The following is a 17,540-nucleotide window of genomic DNA, read 5'->3' on the forward strand; positions in this document are numbered from 1 at the left end:
ACTGGAACATACAAGAGAACCTTAGGATCCTATATTTATACATTTAAGAGCTTAAATGTATATGAGTATTAAAGTCCTCCAAAAAGTTTAGTTTGTTAATACAGACAAATGCATATAGGAAAAGAAAGAGATGGCGATTATAACTAATAATCATAGCTTAAACTATTTGAAAGTAATTAACTTTATTCATAGGCCCTTTAGAAGTGATTGCTAAACTCTGCTAGACTAAAAAATAAAATAGTAACAAACCTGTACATGTACCCCTGAACTTAAAAGTTGGGAAAAATATAAAATAAAATAATTACACATATAAGTTGAACCCAAATAAACTATGTTTTTAATCCTAACTTTAATAATCAGAATATTAATTTTTAATTCAGAAGTAAACCTTTAAATGCTGTTTCCAACAAACCTCCAAAAGCCAGTTTCAGTGACATCCAGAAACTCCTATCAAAATAAGCAATTGCCATAGTGTGTGATAAGTGCTGTAATGAGGGAAAGATAAAATACTATATAGGAAGAAGTGGGAGAGATGGAATTTCAGAGTGTCTAAGAGGGACCTTAAGGAGGAGGACTGGGAAGGCCAAGAAAAAGGTGTGAAGATTAAGGGAGGGAGGGAACAGCCAAAAGGAGTTCATTCCTTTACAAATTCTGAGTATGCACCAGGCACAAAACCAGGGGTTGGGGCTCCTTCCTGCTTGGAGCTCAAGGCCAGGAGGTAAGAGGGAGCTTGGCATCTTGAAGGAAGAGAAAGAACTTCAGTCTGAGTGCAGCCCACCCTGAGAGGGTCAGAGGAAGAGCCCACTCACTCCCCCTGGGTGGGTGAGCCTCCAGGCGCTGGTGGATGTAGGTCAACTACTAAGATGGTGCAGAAACCAGAAGGCCCTCCAACAACTGCTCCTCCTCCTTCAGGAAGTTCTTTGCTTAATTTATTTTTGCTTTGGGGGTCAGAAGCCTATTTGTAAAGCATTTAAACTTTGCTGGGACTCAGCTACTCAAACTATCAGCCCTTCAGTCCAGCATCCCTGAAGCCTAAACAGGCAAGAAGCTCATCTTTGGCTTCAGCCTGAGGTCATGGGCTGCAGGAACCGGTGGGATCTGTTTATCAAGACCACTGAAGACCTGCGGGAGGAAGGATCTTATCTCAGTGTTGCCATGGGGACTGCTGGCTGGATTGACTGAATGCTCTGCAGAAAATGACTCTTTTTTAGAAGAGAAAATAGTTGCTATTTTCCAAAGGCTAAATGTGGAGTGAGGTGGCAGTGAGGGGGAAAACAGAAGGCCTGTGAGGGTAAGAAGTGGGGACCAAGGCCAACTCTGGCTAAAGAAGAATGGGGACAGGCTGCTCCAGGACTCAAGAGCTTGAGATTCATGCTAACCCACTCCAAGAGTTCAGGCCTCCACCAGAGGACATGGCTCTATTCATACAAGAATTTTATACAGAAAATAGTAGATCTGAGATTTACAAAACTCATTTTCAATTTCATAGGCTACAGCCTTCAGATAACTCCAAGTCACATCACATGTCTAATAGTTGTCTCAGAAAGAAGTACCCAAAAGGCATTTCCTCCAAAGGTCCTTCAGAAACTGTGAAATGGGCTCTATTTGAAGAAAACCATTTCCATCAATGTGCGCAGAGCCTCAGTATGAGTGTGCAGCACAGCTGAGCCTGTCATCCCTCGGAACACAGTCTGGGATTGCCTGGTGGCTGTCTGGCTATAAGGACTTTGGACATTATCCCCAACTCCCCATGGAAGAATTTTCCCTGTGTTTCCCACCAACAATACTGAGCCAAACTGCTTTTGATGTCCCCGGAGTTATCTGATCACCTAGATGACACTGAACAGAGCAAGATGACTAGGAGACAGCAGCTCAGCCCTGACATCTGCTCAAGGCCAGCAGCAAAAGTTCCAGGAGTTATATGAGCCACTAGGTCCATCCAATCTACCATCTGTCACTGGCTTACCTTGCCACCTTGGGTCACTGACTTCCCCACTCTGTGCCATCTGTGAAATGTGCATAATAGCACACCAAGTCCTTCTGTACCTCCTCCTTCTTCTCCTGTTCTCTCTCCCTCCCTGCTTCCCTCTCTCCCTTCCTCCTCCCTCCCTCTCTCCCTTTCTTTCTCTCTCTCTACCTCTCTTCCTATCCCCCTCTCTCTCCTTCTCTCTTTTTCCTATAGAAGAGAGATGATGTGTTTGTAAAGTGCTTTGAGCTCCTTGGAGATAGAGAGTCTATAAATATAAGCTGTTATCACTGTTACCATGGAAACACACACAGACAACTGTGCTCTGTTTCTGCATTTGCTGAGCATAATTCTGGCCTTCTTGCCCTGCTGGCTGTTAAACAATCAATGGTTTTACAAAGCTCAACAGCCAGGTAATAGGTGGAGCCTCAAGGCTGAACTTATTTGCTATTCAACTCTTCTTCATGTGAATTTTCAAAAACTGTGTTTCTGTTTGCTAAGGTAGAGGATCGTATAAGATTGGCCAGAGCCAGCTGTTAAACCAGGGATGCAAATAATGACAGGCATAGGTATGCCACCCAACCCAGGACCCTGATCTGTAACAAGGGAGAATTCCAATGAGCTGCAAAAATAATATTCTACCCATTTCCTAAATTTACTCCAACTCCTAACTCCTCAACTTTACAACCAGAGCTGGCAAAATGTTGGAATAAAGAGAGTTATGAGTTTGCACCCTTCTGCCAATTTGTGACCATCTGAAAAGCAGGGGCTATATCTTTTTCATTATTGTCTCCACAGGGCCTAGCACAGTGCCTGCACATAGCAGATGCTGCGCAGAGGCCTGTGGAAAAAAAAAATGAATAAGCGAGTTATAAATGGCTGTTGTTTTCTATTACACAGGTAAAAGTGTTGTTGAGTGAGGTATGCCGTCAAATGTTGGCTTGGGCCTCGGGATCTCAGAGGACATCAGTTTTGGCATGGCCAATCTGCTTCCTTCACCCTACCATCATAGTGAGAACAACGATATCACTTCACTTCTAGTTTAATGGGTGGTCCTGGGAAAGTTGCTCTGTATCTGAAAGCCCCATATAGAATGACGTAACCTAGTTGTTAACCAGACAACTGAAAGATCCAGTGCAAAAAGTGAAAGTGTGAAAACCATAGGAAAAGTCCTTTTTCCTCTCAGGCAATGCTGTGATCTCAGGGGTAAGTTTTCCAGGCCTCAGTTAGGAATGCAGTGAAATGGGAATGGGCTTTGGACTCAGACACATCAGAACTCAGTGTGTGAGCTCTGCCACTTACTGACCTTCCTGAGCCTCCCTTCTCCCATTTGTAAAATCAGAATAATAGCACTCTCTCACAGGTTTGAGGTGGCAGTTAAACAAAATTAGTATATAAACCCATAGCTCAGTGGCTGGCACCAGTCAATGATTTATGCATGATCATTCCATTCCATTAGTTTGCCAGTATGTATGAATATCCATTTATTTTGAATACTTCACTTACTAGTTTATTCTAAAGGCCTGGCAGATGTTTCAGGTCCCACTAAGATGAGTGTATGTGATGTCTCTGCCTTTGGAAAGCCGGATTGGAGGATGTGAAAGGGAGAGAGAAAATGCTCAAACACAGACAGGGAGTCGGGACCTGCTACATAATTTGCAGAGTCCAGTGCAAAATGAAAATGCAGGGCACTTGCCAGAAAATTTATTAAGAATTTCAAAAAGGTGACAACTGAGCATTAATCCAAGCAGGGGGTTCCACTAAGCTAAGGACGCCGTGTAACTGCATAGATTGCACACCGATGAAGTCAGCCCTAAAGCCAGGGCAGAGGTAAACTGGTTTCCAGGCTTGGTACAGACGATATACTGATGAAGTAAGTACAGTGAGTGATGCAGTTTCATGGTGTTACCCAAATGCTGTTTTTGTCATCAGGTAGCTCTAATATGATCACAGAGGACAGAGGTATTTTTTCTACAAAATACTTGAATACATGGAATTCATATTCTAAGCTAAACCTAACTGATAGTAAAGGTCATTTCAGGAGGAAAACACTTACAAAAACAAGCAAACTCCTATAGGAGTGGTTATGATTGCATAAAACACATAATAATTGTGTTCAGAGATTCAAATTGTTCCTGTATCATTGTTCATAGACGATATGGGGGAGAGGTCAAATTACAAAGCGTACAAAGCATTTATCTACTTACACAATTGCTATTTATTAAACCCCCTACTGTATACAAGGTATGGTGCCAGGTCATGTGAGGGAAACAGAAAAAGATATCATCAGCCATAATATGATCTCTCACGTTCCTTTCAGGTCTAACAATTTAGGATTCCTTGATGAAGACATAAGGCCTACCTTTAAGAAACGTAAGTTTAGTGCTGTAGCAGAAACTGAAATGGGCCGGGCACAATGGCTCATGCCTGTAATGCCAGCACTTTGGAAGGCCAAGGTGGGCGGATCTCTTGAGGCCAGGAGTTTGAGACCAGCCTGGCCAACATGGCAAAACACCGTCTCTACAAAAAATACAAAAATCGGCATGGTGTGGTGGCAGACACCTGTAATCCCAGCTACTTGGGAGGCTGTGGCACAAGAATTGCTTGAACCCAGGAGGAGGAGGTTGCAGTGAGCTGAAATAGCACCACTGCGCTCCAAAACAAAAAAATTAAAATGAAATTGCTCTGTATGGGGTGTTTATAACTGATTGCATAAATAAGCATACAAATAATTATTATTTATATTATTTTATAATAATATATTAATATAAATATATATTTATATTATTTTTATTATTTTATATAAATAATTTATATAAAAATCCTACAAATCAAAAGGAAATCTAGGCAAAACACCATATAAAAATCTAGATTTCTACTAAGCTCTTCAAACACTGAGAACATTGTTTTTCGTTTTTTTTTTTGTTTTTTTTTTAATCTGATAGTAAAACTAAGTCACAGAATAGACAATGGGTTCTTCTGGAGTCAAACAATAAAGCTGTGGCAAAACAAAGTCCCCTGTTGATAAATTACTGAATGTATTCACAGTGGTTCTCCATCCCCCTCTCCATCCTTGGTTCACTAATAAAGAATGTGCTTTAAATAAGCTATATGCCTCCCCTTTTTTCCAAGGTATAACAATTAATGGCATTAGTAAAAGACTCTACATAAATGTGTTGATGCCAATTTTGGAGCACGGGCTTTAGAAGTCAGACAACCTCGATTAGATTTTGAGTGTACCACTTATTAGGTATTAGTAACTTGGGCAAATTGCATAGTCTTCCATTTTCCCATAAATTGCAATATTAATTCCTCTCCAGTTTTGTTTCATTTTGTTTTGAGGATTAAAAGCATCTAGCTGTGGCTGGCACACAGCGACCATTCACCTGGTAATGTGCTCACTCCCTCCCCCCACCTTCTTACCTTCCTTCTATAAGACCTACTGTAAACAGAATGTCATGGGGCTGTAATGTATTTCACTGAAAATTGTGGAGTACCAAGATACAGCCCATGGAAGAGCAAACTAACCAGAGACAGAGTCAAGAAACCCAGGATGAGTAAGATCAAGACTGAGCTGATTAAGGATAAACGTTGACTTTATTTTCAACTTTGAATGTGCTAAATGCCATCATTGTGGGTTTCTCCTGGTTCCCCTTAGTTTATTATAATCCCTCACTGAATGTACCGTGAGCAATCCTGGCATTTGATCTGATCCAGGCATTTGAACAGCAGAATCAAAACGGTCAACTTAAAAAGAGGAAGGGAGATAAACAAGGCTGGAGAAAGAAGAGACCTAAGAGTTCTACCTGTTTTTGTTTTTGTTTTTCCAGGAAATAGAATTGGCAATTGTAAATGACAGATTGAACCTAAAGGAAGAAGAGAGATGTTATTTCTCTCACAGTCTATTATACTGGAATGCAGACAGAGAGCTGCTGCTGCAACATGGCCAAAGGACCCTGCCTGGGTGCTATTTGCAGGACACCAAAAGCCCCTAATAAACTAAACGGACCTAAAATTCCCCATTACTAGTTTCACATTAAATAAGGCACTGATCCCCAAGGAGTCCCTAGTGCCTGTGCACACAACAGAACACGGAATTTTGAGGGAATGAGCACAGGACATGGGAGTTCTGATGGCAGGGATCTCACTGGCTGAAAATGCAGAAAGAGGTTGAAAGCTGCCAAAGACAAGTTAACGCACTGCATGGCTTTGTCTGGCCTGGGCTTGGGGCTCTCATGGAGGTTACAGAGTGTTCAAGACAGCTCAGAACTGCCGTGTGGGGGAAATTCTCAGCCAGCCTCATCTTATGACCATCCTTGTAGTCAGGACTGCACAATCCTTCTCATTCTGTGCTTGTTCTGAGCCTACCACCCATCAAAATTCTGTTTATTTCAACCTTTACTAAGATAGGAGGGATTTGAGGTACACCGTTCTAATCCCCAGCATTTCGTTACGAAGAACAGGTTCCCATTCAGGCTAATTCTAGAAAAGAGGGTTTTAATGTCGGGATACAGAAATCTCACAGGAATCCAAGGACAGGGCTGCTTGGTACAGAGGGCCCCGTGAGAAGAGGAACTGAGAAGATGTTCAGAACTCTGGCAGAAGCTGCTAGTGGTCTTCCAGTGTTCATTCTTCTTTTCTTCTTAGTAATAGAACCCTGTGTGCTTTATGCGGGCACATGGCTGCCGGTTGCACACTACAGTCCCCAGCCTGCCTTGCAGCAAGGTATGACTATGTGAGTAATGAGGTATAAATGGAAGTGAGATGTACAAATTTGGCATCGTCTTCTTAAAGACAAAGCCACTTGTCCTGGATTTTCTCCTTGCAGTAAGACAGAATGCAGATGCAATGTTGACTCAGGCTCAGTCAAGCAAAGGAGGACACCACCACTGGGGATGCAAGAGTAACAAGACAGGAGAGCAGGCTCTCTGAATACCCACACAGCAGAGTCACCATTCCAGCCTGGATTATTCACCACCAGGCTGTTACAAAAGAAAGAAATAACTGCTATTTTCTTTGATTCCCTGTATTTTTAGGTCTCTATTACAGCAGCTTGGCTTACATCTTGCCTGACACAAGAATTGAGGGCTAGCTTATAGATGGAGCTTCCCTTGAGTCAGTGCTCACTCCAGTCCACTTTGCTATAGCTGGGTGGAAGGGGCACCGTAGTAAAAACAGCAGTTTAGGTAATGCTTCTGGCACATGTCTATAGATCATATCATGAGGCCAGTTCAATGAAGAAGCATTTGAACTCAGAATCTGTCAGGTTCCTGAAAATCCTCTACCAGGAGTATGTTAGCTCTGGAAGCATCATATTCTAAAATCCTCAGTGATTATGTTTTCTCAGTGCAAGTCATCAATTCTCTGGCATCCAGTGCTCATATCATGTCTAATTACAGCACTGGGGAGTTTTATATATACCTGTAGTTCTGGTTCTCAAACACTGGTGCACATCAGAATCAACCGACCTCCACCCCTAGAATTTTTCACTCAGTAGTTCTAGAATGGGGCCAGAGAATTTACATTTCTGCTAAGTTCCCAGGTCATGCTGATGCTGCTGGTCTGGGGACCACACTGTAAGACCCACTTAGACACTGCATGTACTACTGCCCCATGTGATGTAGGGAACGCACACAGCTGCCACTGGCATAGATACAACATCTTAAAGCCAGATGCTAATAGGAACACCAGACATTCTACTATTTTAGAATATTCAAAATACAAGGATGCATCTCCAGTCTGTGACTTGGTAACTAAACAAAAATGTAATTTATTTAACAAATATTGTAAGTACTTATTCTGTGTCAGGCACTGGAAGCTAGCCATGATGAAACAGACAAAAATATCACTCACTATTCAGCTTAAATTCAAAAGAGAAAAGCTATCATGTATTGATTTCTATTAGGTCTTAAGGCCTTAATTCTCTCAAGTTCCCACAATGAAAATAAAATATAGATGGCGTTATTTCCGTTTCCAAGATGAGAACGTGGAGCCTCATATAGTTAGGTAACTTTCACAGCTTCAGATGGCTGTGTCTTGGAAACCCATGCACTTTCCACAGCACCACAATTAAATATATCTGGCTAAGTCTACAAAGGGGCTCTTAGATAAAATCCTCTATATTTTGTCATCAAAAAATTTCTTTTTTTACTACCATAACCCAGAAACATCCCTGAAAAGTTGAGGACCTTGAAGTGTAAGGTCTCAAGTGCTGTGATGGGAGGATCACAGATTTCAAGAAGGGAACAGTTTATACCTCTTGCCAACAACCCACTTTCTAAACCATCTGGCCAGGTAAGTTACTGCTAGGTTGCAATAAACTTTTGGGGTTCAGAAGAGGTTTACTTTGAATATCAACCTTACATTAAACTAGCAAGTCCCCTGGTTAAAACTGGAGATTCCTCCTTCAATGATTTATTCAACATATATTTCTTGAAACTTTTATGTTCCAGGCACTGTGCTGGAAACTGGATAATTCACAAGTAAAATAATACTTCGTCTCTTTTTTTAAGGAGTTCACAGTTTGAATATAGCCCTTCTTCTTAGTTGTTCTCTGGGTACTGTGCTTGAGTCCTTCTTAGGGATATTTTCTTATGTTTTGAATACTTCATGGTTTGAATTTTTAATCTTTATTCATAACCCTAATTCATACATCAGCTCATTCTGTTTTCTTTTTAGTGGAGCTATTAATATATAAGAGTTGGATATTTGGCAAGATAGCATAATGAATTGTTTTTAAAAGAGAAATGACAGTGATTATTCAAAACCTTGTTAAAATACTAAAAAGAGGAGGTAAAAGCCAGGGCAATGGGAGAAAGGACAAAATCCTTGGAACGTAAAGAATCTATGATCCTTAAAGAAAGATAGGAAGCTGCCCTCAAGATGAGGCAGAGAAGGAAAGAATTATAGAAGAGGAAGAAGAGGCCTTTGGTGTTGAGTTTAAAAAGCAACCGGGTGGGCAGAAAGAAAGAAAGACCAAAATGTTCAGTGTAACTCTTGTTTTAAAGGACTTTCACACCATTTGTTGTTAAATTGTATGTTTAGACCTCACTCATTGTGGTTGGTCATGTGGATTTTTAACTTCAGAACAATTATACTCCAATTATTTTAATTTTAAAGAAAACAAGGATTAAAGTGCATGAGCTCACTTTAATAGGTGACCATATGTGTGATTAAATTTGGAGGCTGGAAATCAGACTTAAGGTTCTGTGGAGGACTTAGGTTTTGCTTCAGAAGCCCCTCAACAAGGATTTCCTGTCGCTACTCTACCTAAGAGAGGAGGTTGGTTGGGGGGAGGGCAGACAGTGAGCTACCGGGTGACAATCAAGTCTTGCTTTATTTCTTTGAAATTGTCTGTGCACAGGTGCTACCGTGAACACACATTGTTTCATTCCACATAATCTGGACTCCCTAAGCTCAATTAACAGCTGTCTCCAAATTTTCCTTGGCATTTTCAGATCTCAAAGAGAAAGTTGTTTTATAAGTTTCTTCTCTCTAAATGTAAGTAGACTGAGGTAGCTCTTAAATACAACAGTCTTATCCTGAAGGCTCATTCCTGTGTGCAGCATGGGCCTCTTAATAATACCTATACTGTACTGTCTTCCCAACTGCAATGGGCTTCTCAAATACTGTGGTGTGTGCAAATTACCTGGGAAGCTTATTCACATGAGGATCCCAGGTACCTCCTCAGATACCTTAATTCAATAGGGTTCGGATAAAGTCCAGGAATCTGCATGTTAATGGAGCTAAGCAGGTAAATCTGATATAGACAGTTCACGTCAATATATTGATAAACCCTATAGTTGCATTAGGGTTGGAGACAAATGTGCAGGTGCAGCGACTTCATAGATTCACCTAAATTCACTGAGTGCATACTATGTACCCATCACTGTGCTAGACACAGGGGATGTCAAGGTGGCAAAAGCTAGTGCTCATAAAATTAAAGTCTCAGCAAATAATCACATGAATGAAAAATTATTATCTGTGACAAATGGCACAAGGAAGAGTTATACAATGATAGGAAAACCTGTGGCTAAGGCATTTTTTTTCTTAGAAGTCAAGGAAGTCTCCCCTAAAGACTCCAGAGTGTTATCTTGCCAAGAGGGGAAAGATAAACATTCCAGACACAGAGGAAATAGCATGTGCAAAGGTCTTGTGGCCATGGGGAGTTTACAGAGTCGGAGAAGCAACCTAGTGTCCTCAATAATATGTAGTCCAGTGCTGGTCAACTCTTATACAAGCTTCCAAGTGTCGCTGTGATATTCCATCCTTCTGGAAGGCTAGTGAAATTGAAGGACTAGTGATCTGCTGAAAGTAGCTATTAGTTTACACCTAAATGGGAACTGCACTAAGCCCTACTGTCAGTTAACATGCTGAAACTGGCACCCAGCTGGCATGCTGGGGCTGAGTAACCACACCCTTCCCGGCTGCAACTTGTACTAAGAATGGACAATAGCTGTCTAAATCCCACAAGCCCCCAAAGAGGCTGACAGATATTGCAGCCATGATTGCAACAGGAAGTAGAGAAGGGTGGTGGGTGGGCAGAATATTAACAGAACCAGCCCTTGCCAACTGGGCAACGTCACAGACTGTGCCATGGCAAGGCATGCATCTGTTTCTGTGCACTCTTTTTAAGATTTTTCTCCAGCTCTATGCCCCTGTCATTTCCACAGCCATGTCTCCCGACCCCAGTGGCCTGAACTCTTCTAATGGTTTGCTCTTCGAATGGCTTGTCTTTCTTACCACAAAAGAAAGCGATTTGATCTTCTCATTGGAGAATAAAATATGAGACAATGGGCCCCCTCCTAGGATTCGTCTTGGAAAAAGGCTTTGACAATACTAACACAAAAGAGCACATCCATATGTGCCAAGTTTCTCTGCATCACTGTGGCATAAGCAGTGACAGAACCTCTAATTTTTAACAGGGGACAAGTACCCTGAGCAAAGACTGTATTTCCGAGCATCCCATATGGCTAAGTGTTGTCCTGAGGCCAAGTTCTGACCAATGATGTAGGAGCAGACGTGCAGGACATCTAGGATGGATGTTGCCTTGAAGGGTGGTTGGCACTTCTGTTTTTCCCCTCCTCCACCCTGGATGTGATGACTGGTGTCCATGAATGCAAGGACCATGTAGAAGGGATGTAAAAAGATGAGCTGGAAGGGGCCTGGCTCCCTGAGGACTTACTGGAATAAAGCCATCATCCCAGTCCTGGACTACCTACCTCTGGTCTTGTAAGTCACAGGGAAATAGAATCCCATGATGTTGAAGCTGCTGTTATTTTGGGTTTCTGTTACAGCCAAACCTAACCCTAACTGATAAAGCTATCATGGGGATTTTTTTTTTCTCTTTTTCTTTTTTGACGGAGGATCACAGTGAAGTTTTTCCTTGGAGTCCCTCAAATGTAGGCAATGATATTCTCCGCCTTCATGTGTGGCTGTGTGGTTTAACCCAAGCAGAATCGTGAGATGGAAAATGAACATGGAATGGAAGAAAGAGGTCTCAGTCAGAGACCAGCCCTGCCCCAAGCTCACCAGCTATTTTTCCACTCTAAGTTTTCACTTTGTCATATGAAAAATCGCCTCTAAGTTCTCATACAAATCTGATAGTTTCTACGACTTGGCATGCTCAGTTTCACCCAACCCCTGCACCAATCTGCCAATGAAGGGAAATTATTATTAGGATGAAGTGTTTGCATCTCACCAACAGGTTACATTTTAAAAATCCATATGGTACCTGTTTGGAACTTGCAACAGATTTTTCTATAGGTCGATAACATACATGAAGGTTAGCTTTGCAAGCACACTCCCAAAAGATATTTAATTAATGCACAGTTAAACTATAGTGCTGGGAGGTTCACAGAACCAAAAAAAAATAAATTGTAAAAGGTTGACATTGGGGAGTAAAGTGCTCAATTTCAAATTGGAGGAAGGGGTAGAAGCATCTTTTCTTCCACCCATGGCAGAGAAGGAAGCTGCGTTTGGTGCTGAGAACAATACCTGTATTCTGTGTCCTGGAGGCGAGAATAATCATTTCCAAGTAACTGCACTTTTTTCCCATAAGGGGTAGGAAGAGTAGGCCTGTGTGAGGACTGAGGGGAAGGGCATGGCAGGCAGAGGGGAAGCCCTGTGTTTTGGAGGTGAGAACAACATTGTTCTCACCTCCAAGTAACAACACTTCCATTTCACATCTAGATGTGCATGAAAGCTAAGAAAATGGGAGTCTTGATATGTTTCAAATATCCTATGAGACCACTGCCTGGTTTCCTTGAGTCTAATTCTAACTTCATTTGAAATATTGTCCTGTAGGTGAAAGGCCATTTTCTGAACATGTCCAAGTTTCCTTAAGCAAACATTATGCAGAAGCCATGGGAGAAGCAAAAGGAGGAAGATTGCTGTCTTTTAGGACAATGGTGTTTTACAGTTACACTTGACTTTTCCATTGGCCATCGTGGCATAGAGCTGAGCGTCACCCACTTCAACCCAGGAGGGCAGCAGTGGAGAAACAGTGAGGAGGGAACCTGATTTCCTATGCTAGAGGAACTTGCATCTCTCCTTCCTACCCCTTATGAATGGGGGAGTGATAGGCATGAAGTCACAGTTCCCTGATGAACTTGGATCTGCTTCACTCCAGTTCTTCTTTTAGAAAGGACTGTCTATGGATAAATAAAATGTGGCACATATACACCATGGAATACTATGCAGCCATAAAAAAGAATAAGTTCATGTCCTTTGCAGGGACATGAATGAAGCTGGAAACATTCATTTTCAGCAAACTAACACAGGAACAGAAAACCAAACACTGCATGTTCTCACTCATAAATGGGAGTTGAACAATAAGAACATATGGGCACAGGGAGGGGAACATCACACACTGGGGCCTGGCCAGGGGTGGGGGGCTAGGGGAGGGATAGCATTAGGAAAAATACCTAATGAAGATGACGGGTTGGTGGGTGCAACAAACCACCATGGCACATGTATACCTGTGTAACAAACCTGCATGTTCTGCGCATGTATCCCAGAACTTGAGTATAATTAAAAAAAAAAAAAAAGGTCAGTTTAGGGAGTGTATACTCAGGGCAGCTTGAATCTATGCTCCCAGGTAAACATTTAAAAAAGAAAAGAAAGGAAGGAAGAGAAAATAAAAGGGCAGTCTTGACCCTGCACTTATAAGTCTTATCTTTTCCCTGTTAAAAAAAAAATAAACTAGGCCTGGTGCAGTTGTTCACGCCTATAATCCCGCCACTTTGGGAGGCTGAGGTGGGAGCATCAGTTGAGCCCAGGAATTTGAGACCAACCTGGGGAAAACAGTGAGACCTCATCTCCACAAAAAATAAAAAAAATTGGCTGGGTGTGGTGGCATGTTCCTGTGGTCCCAGCTACTCTAGAGGCTGAGCTGGGAGGATCACTTGAGCCCAGGAGGTTGAGGCTGCAGTGATCCATGATCACACTACTATACTCCAGCCTGGGAAATAGAGACCCTGTCTCAAAAACAACAAAACAACAGCAAAAACAAACCCCCTTTGTCCCAATCAAAGGAGTTCTCTCATTCTACCCTAATGAAATGTATCCTGTTTCTGTGCATTTGCACATGCTTCCCCTCTGCCCACGCCTTTCCTCTCACTTCCTCACACAGGCTAATTCTTCCTTGTCCAAATGTCCCCATCTTTCAGAAGTCATATCAACTCTCAGGAGGAATAAGTCCTGTGTGCTCTCCTAGCATCCTAAGCAAATTTCAGGCTGTCCCCACATGACAGAATAAACTGCTTGACTGTCTTGACTCTCCAGTGACAAGCACACTGTGAGGTCCATCAATATGCAGTGAATTAGCAAACAAATGTTCCTTCCTGCCTGGTATTATCTCAGGCACCATCAATATTTCTGTACAGGATTTACCTCTTGCACAAAGGGTATCTCTTCTCTAAATTCCCATTGTATCTCGTTTGTGATATTCATTGTGAAACACAATCATTTAGCACCTTGCATTGTTGTTCACTCATTTCTGTGTATTTTGCTCCCAAACCAGAATGTTTGCTGCTAAAATGTCCAGACTACATCTCAGATGTCATGTTCTTTGTTACCCCCGCAGTTTCTAATATAATACTATACACACAGTAGGCCATCGATGAATGATTGATGGATGAGTGCATGAATCCAAAAAAATGCTTCTTTAAATAGTGACCTCCATGAAGATTTACATGATCTTGGAGAGATTTTTACCATAAAAAATAAACCAGCCTTTACATGACAGCACCCATTTGGTGCCATAAGCTATGCTTGCACTTTCTGTGGGTATACATTTTCCTCCTGAAGCGGCAGTTATACCTAGTGGATCTGAGCCTGGTCTCTGGAGCTAGACTGCCTGGGTTTGAAGGTGGCCTTCCTTCTTGCTAGCCTTAGTCTATAAAAGACTTGGCTGCTTCATTTGTAAAATGAAGATGATACTAATAGGACCTACCTCATTACGTTGTAAGAAAGGTAATATAAAGCAGAAAACAGGGGAGGAGGGAAGGTAATCCACATTAAATACTTGGCGTGGTGTCTGGCTTCCAGTAAGTGTCTGATAAATGCAGTTATCAGTGTGGCTTCTAAGATGATGACAGTAGGTTTAAATGGAACAAGAACTCTTAGAGAAGCCAGGGCTCAATCATACTGGTCTTTTCATTATTGCACTTATTTATGTGGGCAGTGTCCTTGGTGGTATCACTGTAAGGAAAGTTATAGCAACGACTTTTAGAACTAAGAAGTTAAATTCCACAGTGGGACGTGTCATGCTATGTAACTGGACAGGAGGCCCATCAGGTATGCAGGATGCATTTCAGTAATGTCTTAGTAAAATGAGTGTGCCTTCTGCTGGGATGATTGGGTGCAATGACATGTGCATGATACATATGAAAGACTGAATGTTATCATTTATTCATCAAAAAACATGCTGTTAGCTAGCCAGAATACAGATACTGCAAACAGCTGGTTTGCCTAAAGGATTTGCTCCTTCAGATCATAAAACCTCCTCATTACTAAGTACAGAGATGAGTATAAATTAAGTTGTAAGTTAGTTTATGCAAATTATTTTACATTTTCCTGCCTCCCAGCTCCTCCCAAAAGTAAAATAAATGCAAAACAGTCTTTTTTCATTTCTTCCCTTTGTTTTGATCCCTACGAACTAAACACAATATTTCTAGAAAGATGTAGAAAGGTACAGCACCCCAGAAATAAGAAAAGTTGGTATATTTTATGGGGTATAAAAGGTTTTTTATTCTGTGTGTTTGTTCACCTACCTGTCATCCTGCTTATCTGAAAGTGCCTGTCTGCATTACACCAGGCAACAGCTAAGCAGCCATTTAATCCTGCATGACTCCCTCCTCTGTATCTTGACCACATCACAGGGAGGAACCTACACCAAGGCAGTCCAGGCTTAGGTTTCCCAGCAACCTGTGACCTGGCTGGAAAATGTGAACTGTGCCAATCCGATTCCCTTTGCCTGGAATCCAGACTAGAAGCAAGGTAAGCTTTGCCAGTTAGCCATGGGAACTGCAGCTGCAGGATCATGAGAAAGGCAGGACCACAAGAACCTCTGCCAATTGACCTGCATGGAAAACAAAGTTGGGCACTGGGAGAGCTGAAGAAGCAGAGAAAGTCAGGGTTGGTTAGAAGGAAGAAGCAGCATTTAGAGTTCAGTTGAGTCATTTCAGTGGGTAAATGCTAGAAGAGCCAGAACCAAGCTCTCTGGACCCTGGCCCAGCACCATCCCAGGACAGTCCTCGTGAGGACAGCATTTACAGTACCTTGTCCTAGAGATCAGGGATGGATGGCCCCCTGGCCTTATTGCTTCATAGGTATCCATTTCACTTGTGTTAGATTTTGAGGGAGGGGGGTTATCTCTGTTTTTTGCAAGTACAAGAGATTTTTCTAAAACACTTACTTGGCATCAGTGTTAGAGGGGCGTTGGCTCAAAAAAGCCATGAAGGCGTAGCTTTGTGATAACAGTAGTTGGCAAGATGATAATGTCCAGATCATACACAAATATTAGCTCCACTGAACTCTGATCTCCTCAGAACCAGAGTACCTGCTTTAAAGGGACATGAGCCAATGAGAAATCATGCAGATGAAGGCAGCAAGTATAATGAGAGGGTTGGAAAGTTTCTCACACAAGTACTGAAGAAATACGAGATTTTTTACTCGAAAAAGTGAAAATTAGGGAGACAAAGGATGTTTCTAATATATGTAGAGCTGCCACGTGGAAGATACACCAGGGTTGCATTTTGTTCCTCTAAAGGCAAGAACTAGGATTGGACAGAAGTTATAAGGAGCTAGGATTTAGCCCAGAGTTTCCCCACAATGGAATGAGAGCTGCAAGATAGGGAGTATACAGCCTCTGGAGGTGTTCAACAAGAGGCCAATTGACCAGCTACCTTGTCCCAGGAGAGGGGAGTTTGTACTAGAGAATATCTGATATTATCTTCAGTGTTAATACACAATGAGTTTATCTACAATGACTATGTATATTACCTCTAGGCTCTAAACAAACGCTGCTGAAAGAAGCTGAAGATCAAGCAGACCGTAAAATAGATATTCCTCCTTATCTCTAGAAGACTCCAAGTGGTCCAGCAAGAGAGGAGTCATGAAATACCTCAGATCCTCTCTCATCTACATTTGTCTCTGGGGCTGTTGAGACAATGCCTCTGTCAGGGGAATGATGTCGTGGGACCTCCTCTTATTGAGATTAGCCTCTCAGAAGGGTGTCTGCTCATTGCCTTTTAAGCAGATGGAAAATTCTGGAAAGGAACTTTATTTTTTGAAGCTTAGAGGAGGTGCCGGTTGGTGCCAATTTTCCAAGGATAAAAACCAAATTCAACTAATTTACCCCCCACTGGGGGAGTACAAAAAAGCAGGCAAGCTAAGTCTGAAAGCTCTAACAATGGTTTAGCACCACTTATCCATGGGCCTTCAGGCCTACCACCTACCAATCATGCAAGTAAGTTCAGATTATTGCAAAGACCGGACACCTCTGCGGTCCTGCTAGAACAAACCAAACAAAAATCATTCTCTGTGTGTCTTCTTTTCTGTGCCTGCCTTGGTCACCTCCACTATCCACGTTTAATAATTTGGCAAAGGACATGGCAGGTGGAGAGAAATCCCAGTATTCTCACTATATCAGGGATGCTTTCTGGACGTCCTCTCAGGAAACAGGAAACAGCACAGCAGAAAACAACTTCTGGGAGTCTGCTAGTCAAGGCCTGGGAGCCAAGGTGTTGAGCGGGTAACCTACCACTCCCACTGATGACACGAATGGTCCGCTTACCAACATCCCTAGCAAAAAAAAAAAAAAGTCCTTTTTTTGTTATTTCCATACTATGTCCTCACACAAGGATTCGATTCCAGATCCAGTAAAATAGGAAAGTGCCAGAACAGAATGCCTTCAGATGAAAGAAGTGAACGGATAGGGTTTAAACTGCAGCAGTGCTAAATTATTGTTAGAAACCAGAACCATTTTGGAGAATGATTTGGTTTTCTGTCAAACAGGCCAGGTCCATTGTGCAGCACAGAATGAAGCCCCGGAGCAATCCGGCATCCTTCT

At 42.1% G+C, this 17,540-nt stretch overlaps 1 long non-coding RNA gene across 1 annotated transcript in view; it reads right to left on the minus strand.

The window, feature by feature from the left end:
• Positions 1 to 2,017, minus strand: part of LINC00970 (long intergenic non-protein coding RNA 970) — a 183,101-nt gene extending 181,084 nt beyond the window's left edge. Inside the window, exon 1 of the long non-coding RNA NR_104091.1 lies at positions 1,967 to 2,017. This is a non-coding gene — a long non-coding RNA (long intergenic non-protein coding RNA 970). The remainder of the gene's footprint in view (positions 1 to 1,966) is intronic.

Source organism: Homo sapiens, chromosome 1, assembly GCF_000001405.40.
Source record: "Homo sapiens chromosome 1, GRCh38.p14 Primary Assembly".
Classification (NCBI taxonomy): domain Eukaryota; kingdom Metazoa; phylum Chordata; class Mammalia; order Primates; family Hominidae; genus Homo; species Homo sapiens.